Below are 12,258 nucleotides of genomic sequence, written 5' to 3'. Positions count from 1 at the left end.
TCTCAGTGAGAGACCCAGGGAGAGACAGACACACACTCATATTAGAATAATTTACCCGTACATGTACCCCCTGAATCTAAAGTAAAAGTTAAAAAGAAAAAAATAGGATAATTTGAGGGTAGTCTATAAAGGAATTATCATCAAAGCTATCAGTGAGCTTCCTCAGGGATAATAACGGAAGACGAAGATGTGTTATCACTCAGGGCTCAAAGATATGAGGAAGGCGAATGATGTGGTTTGGCTGTGTCCCCACCCAAATCTCATCTTGAATTGTAGCTCCCATAATTTCCACGTGTTGTGGGAGGGACCCAGTAGGAGACAATTGAGTCATGGGGACGGTTCCCCCATACTGTTCTCATTGTAGTGAATAAGTCTCACGAGATCTGATAATTTTGTGAGGAGTTTCCCCTTTCACTTGGCTGTCATTCTCTTGTCTGCCACCGTGTAAGAGGTACCCTTCTGCCATGATTGTGAGGTCTCCCCAGCCACGTGGAACTGTGAGTCCATTAAACCTCTTTTTCTTTATAAACTGCCTAGTCTTGGGTATGTCTTTATCAGCAACATGAAAACAGACTAATACAGAGAGATTTAGGGAATCCTAATAGGAGATCAATCTGTAGAGGACCAACGTGAGAGGAGCAGCAGCCAGGGTAAAGCAACCTGCAAGGATGGAAGTGGGGAAATAAACACCTGGGCCTCATTCTCTTCCCTCCCTCTCATCTCCTGAGAGCATGCCCCGCTGACTATACCCATCAGGAGCCAGAGGGGTTCCTGCAAGCCAACGCCCTGGGACAGAGAAAAGGGTGAGTGGAGAGTGGAGAGAGGGTCTCAAGGAGCAAGTGGAAGGCATCTGGCACATTCATACAGTTTCTGGTGCACAAATAATCAATACCACAGGCAATTTTTTTCGTTTCATCTAAGTTTTGACTTCAAGTTGAACTCCTGAGGTCAGAAATATCTTCCAACTCTGGATCCCTTGTGAATTTGGGGGAACTAAAAAAAAAGCTTAGGCTGGGCATGATGGCTCATGCCTGTAATCCCAGCACTTTGAGAGGCCAAGGCGGGTGGATCACTTGAGGTAAGGAGTTCAAGACCAGCCTGACCAACATAAAGGAACCCTGTCTCTACTAAAAATACAAACAATTAGCGGGCATGGTGGCACATGCCTGTAATTCCAGCTACTCCAGAGGCTGAGGCAGGAGAATCACTTGAACCTGGGAGGCAGAGGTTGCAGTGTGCAGGGATCACGCCATTGCACTCCAGCCTGGGCAACAAGAGCAAAACTCCATCTCAAAAAAAAAAAAAAAAAAAGCTTAGTTATTGAAACTTAAATATAGTCCTTAATAGTTTTATGACAATGTTCACATCTATTCAATCATTCATCCTTGTCACTGTCATTAATAAATGACATATACATGCTAAATATAGCTTCTTAGTTAATATTGTCTTCTGATTGCCAAATTAGTCAAATTTCCACAAACATTTCTTACCAATGTCTTACAAGCTCATCCTACAAAATCTGCCTTTGTTTTGGTTTCTCCCATTTCTCTTCCTACTATGGTATTTATTACTTTACTTTCTGGAGTAATTTTTTTTCATAGTTATATTATAGGTCTCATTATTTCTGCCATGTTAGGTACAATATACCCTTTAAAAAATTTTTTTTCCTAAAATATTTATAACTATACTTTGTTATTATTTCTAAGCACAATCTTTTTTATGACCCAAGCAGAGAAGCAGCCCAGTATTAATTTACATAAGTAACCCTCTCTTGATTCACTTACGTATTCATTTAAGAATATTTATTCAGAATATTCTAGACACTATATAAGAACTAAAGATACAATGGTGAATAAAAATAGACCTGTTCTCTTATTTTATGGAGAAGTCAAAAAACAACCTGGAAAATTAATTTTTATTTCCTAGCCTTTTAGAGTTGTATATTGAAATATTTAAAAGTTCTATGATATAATACGATATTTAGAACTTGCTTCAAAATAATCTGAAGAGGAGAAAGCAAAGGGAAGTACAGGTGAAAGATTGGCCAAGAATAATGATTAAAACTAGGTTCAAGGAAGGTCATTATACTACTGTCTTTATTTTAATATATGTGTAAAATATTCAATAATAAAAAGTTTTTAAAAATTCATTCTTTAGAAGCAGGGTTGGCTTCGGAATTTCTATCTGGGGGTCCTTGGGGGCAGCAATCAGGTTGGTAGGGAGTGTTTGATCCTGAGTTTGCATAGCACCATCTCACAAATTTGAGATAATTCCTCAAAATGAAGAATCGGTTTCAGGTATATGAAGGGGGAGGGGATTGCTAATGGAAATTATAGAAGATAAAGCAATCCCCTCTAACCACAATTTTGAAGATGGTTATAAGTAATAAGTTAGTTTGACAGAGGTGTGGTATCTAAAAAGAAACAATGGTGGTATTGAATGAATCATCAGTAAAAATAATTCACACAATTCACTACAATGGCCCATCAATTGCCAAAGTGTCCCAGCAAATGCTCTTTAGAGGCTAGTAGGGTTAGAAAATTTAGTTTGGTAACTACTGAGGAGATTAATTTGTGGAAATAACCATATTTTTTAATTCTGTAAACTAGTTGGTGAGAACGTGGCTGTATGTTATGTTTGTATACCTGAAATATTTCTCTTTTTTTGAGAAAGCAAAAGAGAGAAAGACAGGTAGAGTGATATTATTTGTTGCCTAACATTTCAAAGCTATTGCACCTTCATTATCATCTTTGTCTAATATGTATATTTTTGATATTAAGAGTTATCCCTCTAATTAATGTTTGCTTACAATATCCTTTCACACCTTTAATGCATGACATTTCTGTTTTGCGTTGTTTTCCTTGTATTGCCTGAAGATGGCATAAAGTTTATTGTGATTTTTCAGCCCAATGCAAGGGTGTAAGATTTTAGTAAAAAAAAGATAATCCTGTCTACATTACTGTCATAATTGATTTATTTGATCTTATTCCTGTTACATTTGCTTATTTTTTTAGTTGTCTTGCTGTTTACCTAGTTTTCTGCCTCATAGTATGGCATATGTTTTCATTTTTCCCTTGTTATTTCTAAGGAAACCATCTACTGTTTTTGTAATTGAGAAGTAGGTTTGTAAACATTTTAATTGAATTACAACATACAATAAAGAGCACAAATCTTTTATATACAGTTTGATGAATTTTTACAAAGCATATATCTTAGTGCTGAATGTGTATCATTAATTCTGTTATTTTTGTTTGTTTGTTTGTTTGTTTGTTTTGGGTAACAAGGCAACAAGTTACATCCTTCATTGTCAGCAATAGAAAACAACGCTGGCCCAAAATGGAGATTTACTGGGAGATAATTGAGGAGTCAGAGAATCAGTGGAGAAGCTGGACAAATAGGCTTAAAATATGATAGGAACTATCAATCTTCGAAATGCTGCTGGAATGAACTCCAGCCATTTCCTTAGCCTATGTCTATCCACTTAATATTTAAAGTCCTAAGAGATGGAGTGTGATTGCCCAAGCCTAGGTATCAGGGAGATTTTAGAAAAGATCTGGTAGAAATAGCCTCCAGGCATCCCTTAAACTCCCATACAGAAAAGAAAGGGGCAGCCTTTTATATTTACAACCCCAACGAGATTAAACAAAATGGCTTGGGTGATTCTCCAACAGGAAATTGGAGTGCCGTCAGGAAGGGGAATGAACAGGAAGGGGACTGAATGCCGGTAAACATAAAAATGTAGGTGCCCAATATGAGATTTTAGTCTCCTGTCTTTCTTTTGCAAATCCAGGTAGACACGCTACACTCAGTTGGCCAGGCTTTACTACCTTAGTTCTTTTCATTTCCCTTTCTTGGACACTAGACACTGGTTGTGCTGCATCTGCTACTGTACTGGAAAGAATGGAGATTTGTGGCTCTATAGAAGTTGCTTAAGCCCTTTGAGCCTCATTTTTATCCCCCATAAAATTGTAACATGCTTCAAGAGTTTTTGTGAGGATTATTCGTGGTAAGATAGTACTTGGCACAGTAGTCACCCAACAAAATGTTAGTATTGCTCCTCCTCTTCTTAGGGCAACCTTTTGGGTGATTTTCACATTCGTGGAGGCTTATTCACAATCTCTTTTCACAGAAAACTCTGCCAAGGCCTTGTTCTTTGTGTCGGAAATGTTTTTGCATTCTTACACCCCCTATGCAGATTATTTACTTGGCATGCATTTGGCTGTCAGCTCTTCCAGCTAAAACTGTTCTCTGTTTCTAATGAAAATGACATGGCAGGTGCATCCTCTCCTTGTCACAGTGCTACCGCTCATTTGTTGTCCATCCAAATTTCAAATCTGTCTGCTAAATTTACTATGTGCATTCCTCACAATATCTCTTTAAGTGACCCATAGTCTTTCATAAAGTCAGATGATGTTGTCAGTGCCTTTACCCTCTTTTCTCCTAAAATGTGCTCCAAATTAAGTTCAGTTTCTTCTTTCTGGAGCTTTATATCAAACTCTTTACTTCTAGAAACTGGAACTGTTAAAGATATGGCCTCTAATTTTCTAAACTCAATTACTCACCAGTCAGTGGCATGTGTTCATTCTGTAGCTAGGCAATAGAGCAAGACATACAGACCTTGAGTATTAAGTGCTTACAGTGATAAATAGAATTTATTGTCCATTCATTGCCAGGGACACTGGGGCTATTACAGAAATGAGTAACATATGGTATCGTCTCTCCAATAGCCTATGGTATAGTGAGGTATGAGAGACATATGCAAACAGGTAAATTGTCTACCAGTGTGATAAGTGAGAATACAGGTTCAAGTGAGATTGGTGAAGGAAGTTCAAGTGGAATCACAAAATAACTGGAGGTTAACTGGACAACGAGTTAGGTGGAAGTTGACCTAGACTGAGGGAAGATTATGTGCAAAAGTACAATATTGAGAGAGAGCAGAGCATGGTTAGGGAATTGCAAGTCATTCCATGGGTCTTGGGTACAGGGATTTAAGGCATTGGGTGAGGGAGTTGATTTTGAGACTATGGGGCAGGAGTCAGTAAACTAAGGCCTGGGCCTGCAGGAGGGTCCCAGTTTTTGTAAGTAAAGTTTTGTTGGAACACAGCCATACTCATTCGTTTACATATTGCCTAAGCTGCTTTCTCGCTGTGACAGCAGAGTTGGGTAGTTGCCACACAGACCATTTGGCCTTCAGAGCAGAAAATGTTTACTGGTTGGGCTTTTACAGAAAACATTAGTCAACCACTGCTAGAGGGATATGACACAGTCAGATCATGATGGTCATTCAACTTTATTCTGAGGAGCACTGGGAAGGCTGACGAAGGAGTTTAAGCAAGAGAGTGATGTGGCCATCAGATTTGTGTGTTAGGACAATCACTTTAGCTGCATATGCAGAATGCCATGAAGGAGGCAAGATCAAAAGCAGAGGCAAAAATTAGGACTTTATTGCAATCATCCAGACAGGTGAAGACTGTGGCCAGAACTAGTGTATGTCCAGAACTATGATAAAAGATACTTATGGCAGATAATAGCAAGTCAAATTTTCTTTTTCTTAGAGTTGTCCTCTGCGACCTCACTTCTTTTGTTCCTCTCTTCTGGGATCTTTCCCTTCCCTGTTCTCCTCCACACTTTTTTTCAGTGTGCTTGTTCTTCTCTTTTCTTTAAACATTCTCTTTGACAATACACCCCTTGTCAACGTCAGACAAGAAGAAATTTCAGGAATCCATGGATGCGAACTTCTATAGTTGCACCACTGCTCTTGTGGCTTAGTTGTCTCTTTCCAAATCTTCACCACTGACTTATTGTTATAGAAGCCCTCAAGATCGTCCTCCTCCGTTTCCTCATCTTAGGGGATTGATTCGAGCCACTGCAACAATTTCTGGAATCTCTCAATATTCCTCGGCTCACCCCAAGCACCGTGTTGCTTCTATCTCAAGGTGCACCAGCACCTTAAAATTCAAACTTTGGAAGATGGAACAACCGTCTTAATTATTTCGACTTTTATATGATGAAACACGTTGAGAGAGGTTAAATGACTTTCCCAAAGTAACAGCAACTTAGTGGAAATCCAGGTTTCCTAAACCCTTACATCATGCTCTTGCTATTTCCCTACATCTAACAGTTCTAATCCCCTGTCTCCAGTTAGGGAACTAAAAGAGTAATCACCATTTCTGCCCTGAGACACTACACAACTTGATCACTAGAAGGAAGTTTGTAAATAGCCATGTGTCTGTCCCAACTACTTGACTATACACAAACAGTTTTCTTAAGAAATTCTACTGAGTAGATCAATTGCTTCCTGATGCAGGGACCTAACTGGTAGTGTCAGAAACCATCCAGAACTCAATTATGAAATAAAAGTGAGGTTAATATCCAGGTTGCAAGTAGGAAAATTATGGGTGATATTCCAGCTTTGAAAGGTAAAAGTGTTATGGGATTTTATACTTTTCATTTGGTTTTTATTTCCTATCCCTGTGCCTTTTAAATATTCACATTCTCTAGATAAATCATTCACCTCAAAAACTGATGGTCTCATAACCTTTTGTAACCCATAAAAATGTCACACATTTATTATCATCATTTCACAGTGACTTTGATATTTTACCTCTGTTCCAAGGGTTGCCCATGACACAGGGAAGCCAGATGCTGTCATGTTTATAGTGCTGAGTTTGAAGAAAGGTATGAATGTTGCTGAAAGGCTTGATCCCCTCTAGTCAGCTCCACAAGAAAGGGCTGTGGAGGACAGCCACTACTCCTGGAAAATATCAGGACTGTCAAGGGCAGAGTAGCTGGGAGCAGGCACCTAATGCCTGGCTTGCCCTGGCCAGGGCAGCATCTGGTTGTGGTCTTCTAAAGTGGCACTGTTCAACATGGCAGCTATTTGTCACATGTGACTATTCAATTTAAACCACTTACAATTAAACAAAATTAAAATGTAATTCCTTAGTTGCATTATTTATATTTCAAGTCCTCAATAACCACATGTGGCTAGTAGCTACTATATTTGAAGTGGGCAAATATAGAGCATTGCTCTCATGACAGAAAGTTCTATTTGACAGCACGGTTATGGAGAAAGGCAGAATAGAAGAATGAAATAAACAGCTGTGCAAAGAAGAAAATTGGTAGTTGGACTGGTCATAGCACAATGGATGAACCAAAACATTATGACACAGCAGCTAGAAAGACATGTGAATGCTACACGTTTTAGCCTGTTAGAAGCTGGTTGGTTTGAACAAGTTACTTAAACTCTCTTCCTGATTTTCCTTTACTACAAAAGGTGGGTACTGATTTGTGTTATTTTCCTATAGCCTTGTTGTCAGGAATTAAATGAGATCTTGTATGCAAAGGGCTTAGCATGATGCCTGGCACATTGTGTGTGCTCAAAAAACAATAGTGATTGTTCTGAGGACGAGGCCATCTCATCAAATATCTTCTGCAGACTGAGAACTACTAGTAAGTCTAGTAGCTTGAACTTGCTCCAATAATGATAGAGGAAGCCGTGCCTCAGGCCCCTACTCATCTTGGAATTTTAAAAAGTGGGATGATTATCAAAGGAGGAGGTGAAAATAAACTAACAGTTTGTGAATACAGTATCAGAAAGTATTTCAGTCAGCTACAAGCAACAGAAAACCTAAACTAATCTGTGGCTTAAATTAGTAAAAAGTTTTATTTGTTGAGTGAATTATTCTTCTAGCTTTCTGTTCCACATCTCTATTGCATGATTTTCATTCTCACAGTTGAAATATGTCAGTTGTTCCTCCAGGCATCATGTCCATATCCTGGAATGATAAAATGGGCTTCACTTTTTTATTTAGAAAAGGCCACCTCCATACATCCCCCCTCTAATACCTCATTGACCAGAAGAACCCTGTGCCACCATAAGCTGCAAGAAAGGCAAGAAAGAGATATTTGTTTGAGAATGAACCACTTGAAATAACCAATATTTGAGCATTTTTAACCAACAAAGAGGCAAACTCAAATTCAGAGTTGGGCCTATTAGGGTCCTGAAGAAAACTGGGGTTCTAATGGAAAAAAGAGGGGGGGCATAGACACTGGGCAGGCAACTAACTGTATCTGCCATGAGCTCCCTCCTTCACTGGGCATGTGTGAGTCTCAGAACCCCCTAAAGGCAATTGTTACCTCATTTCTGAAAGAATGGACTAAAATTGTTCAGTGGAAACCTGCAGAGCTGGGAGATAAAGCTAGACCTTTTGTCTCAAAATCCACGTGCATCCTACCATTTTTCTCAAGCAAAAGCAGAACTGAAAAAGCTCCCTTTTAAACAACACAAAATTCAAAGAAAACAAGAGTTTTCATCATAACAGAGTGTGTGTTGCATAACACTGTGTAAATCAGTCACAGATGCATGGCTGTTTTATCCGAGGCATCAGTCACAACTGGGATGAAACAGATTGCACATAAGTGGAGGGGAAATACATTGGCTTGTTTTGTTAGAATTTAATTTAATTTCCATGCTTGCCTTCTTCCCTTGGGGGAAATGATTATTTGACTTGATGCTGAAAGGACTCAGCAAGATAAGCTTGTTTAAAAGCAATATTATAAGGAAGGTAGTATCAGGTTTTTGTTTTTGTTTGCTTTGCTTTTTTTTCTGGTTGAATTTTTCCCCCAAGGGAAGAAACTTGAATGTTAAAGGCAAAAAAGAAAAAAAAGCCACAAAATGAAAAATGCCTTGCCTAAATAGCAAAAACTACTCCCTCTGTATAGATTACTGAATTCCATGGTACACTTCTCAAAAGACACGTTTTTCCAGCTTTGTGACTGTTATTATTTATTGACAATTTCCCGACATTTTCACTAAATCTCTTTTGAAATTCCATCCTGTATTCAGTTGCCTATTGAACATCGCTTGAATGTCTATAGACAGCTCTATCTCAACATATCTGAAACAGACGTCATGATCTTTTTCCTAAATGAGACAAAATAAAGCAAAAACAAAACATTTTGTTTCTTTTCCAGTGTATTTCCTCTTAGTAAATGGCACTGCCAATCACCCCATTGCTCAAACCCAAAGCCTGGAAATTATCCTTGACTCTTCCATTTCTTCATCCCCTTCATATCCATGCAATCACCAAAGACTGTCAATACCAATTCCTAAACATTTCCAAAACTCATGCAATAAATTTACAGTGTATCAGGAAGATTTTCTTCACTATAAGTGAATATTTGTCAAGCTTAACTAACTAAAGAAAACCACACTCACAAGCTGAACCAATGATGGCGTGGCTGGGAATGGTACCATTTGATTCCATCGCTGATGCTCTGCATCAAGTAGCATCTCCATAGAGACCTCTGGAGCAAGCTTATTCACAAATTCCTGGCTGACACCATACCACATTTCTGTTAAGAACCCAATTGCTATGAAGGAACTGAAAGTGGATGGTATAAGTGAAAGATTAAATGTACCCTCATTTCTTCAAAAGGAAACTTCCAGAGGACATTGTGTCTGTCTTGTCGCTACTATATCCCCAGAATCCAGCTGGTACCTGGCACATAGTAGGCTCTCAGTTGAATAAGGTGAGGAAGAATGCTCATTTTAATTCCTAATCCCTTGTTTATAATCATTTAAGTTTCTCACAAAACATCCTTCATCTTGCCAATATCTGGGACACTTTAGATTCAACCCAAAATAGAAGTAACTTGGATAATTCTAGACTTCCTGGCACCTGGACTGCAATTATTAGTTCACCTGTCTGCTATTATAATCTGGATAATATGTCTTAGTTCTCAAAATTGAAATATGCAATAGCGTGAAAACAGGCTTTGAAATCTCTGATTTGTCATTGACCAGTTTTGTAAGTTTTTGCAACTTACTTGACTCTCCTCTGTCTCAGTTATTTTATCTACAAAATGGGAAGATGCTTTGTGAGATTATTGAGATGCTTCAATGAGATAATCTGAGAGAAGCACTAAGCAGTGCTCCCAGCATAGAACTCTGTATGCCTCTGTACTGCCAAGTAGATAAATAGTATTGACATCCTTAAAAGCTATCAGTCTTATCCAGGGAGCCTTTAATTATCTGAAAGTCACCCCCTCCCATCCACTAATCAACCACAAAACTCTTAACATTCAATTCATTCTTCTTTTCAGGTTGCATGGCCAGGCAATTTGGAAATACCTGCATGGGTGGGTTTTTGAAACTATAGTGTATTAGTCCGTTTTCACAGTGCTGATAAAGACATACCTGAGACTGGGAAATTTACAAAAGAAAGAGATTTAATGGACTTACAGTTTCACGTGGCTGGGGAAGGCTCACAATCATGGTGGAAGGTGAAAGGCAAGTCTCACAAGGCAGCAGACAAAAGAAGCTTGTGCAGGGAGACTCCCATTTTTAAAACCATTGGATCTCATGACTCATTTACTATCAGGAGAACAGCACAGGAAAGACCCGCCCCTGTAATTTAATCACCTCCCACTGGGTTCCTCCCACAATGCCTGGGAATTGTGGGAGTCACAATACAAAATGACATTTGGGTGGGGACACAGCCAAACCATATCATTCTGCCCCTGGCCCCTCCTAAATCTCGTGTAATCACATTTCAAAACCAATCATGCCTTCTTAACAGTCACCCAAATTCTTAACTCATTTCAGCATTAACTCAAAAGTCCACAGTCTAGTGTCTCATCTGAGACAAGGCAAGTCCTTTCTGCCTGTGAGCCTATATAATCAAAATCAAGTAGTTACTTCCTAGATATAAGGGAGATACAGGTATTGGGTAAATACAGCCCTTCCAAATGGAAGAAATTGGCCCAAACAAAGGGGTTACAGGCCCCATGCAAGTCCAAAATCCAGTGGGGCAGTCAAATCTTAAAGCTCCAAAACAATCTCCTTTGACTCCATGTCTCACATCCAGATCATGCTGATGCAAAACATGGGTTCCCATGGTCTTGGGCAGCTCCTTCCCTGTGGCTTTGCAGGGTACAGCCTCCCTCCTGGTTGCTTTCATGGTCTGGTGCTGAGTGTCTGGAGCTTTTGCAGGCACACGGTATAAGCTGTCAGTTAATCTATAATTCTTTGATCTGGAGGACGGTGGCCCTCTTCTCACAGCTCCACTAGGCAGTGCCCCAGTAGAGACTCTGTGTGGGGCTTCCACCCCATATTTCCCTTCTGCATTGCATTAGCAGAGGTTCTCCGTGAGGATCTCACCTGTTCTGCAAACTTCTGCCTGGACATCCAGGCATTTCCATACATCTTCTGAAATCTGGGAAGAGGTTCTCAAACTTCAATTCTTGACTTCTGTGAACTTCCAGGCTCAACACCACATAGAAGCTGCCAACGTTTCAGGCTTGCACTCTCTGAAGCCATGGCCCAAGCTCTATATTGGCCTCTTTCAGCCACAGCTGAAGTGGCTGGGACACAGGGCACAAAGTCCCTAGCCTGCACACAGCACAGGAACCCTGGGCCTAGTCCATGAAACCACTTTTTCCTCCTAGGCCTCCAGGCCTGTGATGGGAGGGGCCGCTGTGAAGACCTCTGATATACCCTGGACACATTTTCCCCATTATCTTGGGGACTAACATTCAACTGCCAGTTACTTATGCAAATTTCTGCAGCTGGCTTGAATTTCTCCTCAGAAAATAGGATTTTCTTTTCTATCATGTTGTCAGGCTGCAAATTTCCTGAACTCTTATACTCTGCTTCCCTTATAAAACGGAATGCCTTTAACAGCACCCATCACCTCTTGAATGGTTTGCTGCTTAGAAACTTCTTCCACCAGGTACCCTAAACCATCTCTCTCAAGTTCAAAGTTCCACAAATCTCTAGGGCAGGGCAAAATGCTGCCAGTCTCTTTGCTAAAATATAATAAGAGTCACCTTTGCTCCAGTTTCCAACAAGTTCCTCATTTCCATCTGAGACCACCTCAGCCTGGACTTTACTGTCTATATCGCTATCAGCATTTTGGGCAAAGCCATTCTTCAACAAGTCTCTAGGAAGTTCCAAAGGTTTCCATATTTTCCTGTCTTCTTCTGAGCTCTCCAAACTGTTCCAAGCTCTGCCTGTTACCCAGTTCCAAAGTCACTTTCACATTTTTGGGTATCTTTTCAGCAGCACCCCACTCTACTGGTACCAATTTACTGTTTTAGTCCATTTTCACACCGCTGATAAAGATATACCTGAGACTGGGCAGTTTACAATAGAAAGAGATTTAATGGACTTACAGTTTCACATAGCTGAGGAGGACTCTCAATCATGGCAGAAGGTGAAAGGCACGTCTCATGTGGTGGCAGACAAAAGAAGAG

At 39.8% G+C, this 12,258-nt stretch overlaps 1 long non-coding RNA gene across 1 annotated transcript; it reads right to left on the bottom strand.

Annotated features, from left to right (window-relative positions):
• Positions 1-7,643: 7,643 nt before the first annotated feature.
• Positions 7,644-10,301, bottom strand: LOC124904099 (uncharacterized). The gene is made up of 2 exons (XR_007065976.1): positions 10,247-10,301; positions 7,644-7,778 (listed from the first exon to the last, which is right to left on the bottom strand). It is a non-coding gene; the product is annotated as an uncharacterized LOC124904099 (long non-coding RNA).
• Between the last annotated feature and the right edge of the window lie 1,957 nt (positions 10,302-12,258).

This window comes from Homo sapiens, chromosome 17, assembly GCF_000001405.40.
Source record: "Homo sapiens chromosome 17, GRCh38.p14 Primary Assembly".
Classification (NCBI taxonomy): Eukaryota; Metazoa; Chordata; class Mammalia; order Primates; family Hominidae; genus Homo; species Homo sapiens.
The sequence above is the reverse complement of the archived record's forward strand: the minus strand, read 5'-3'. Positions and strand labels throughout refer to the sequence as shown.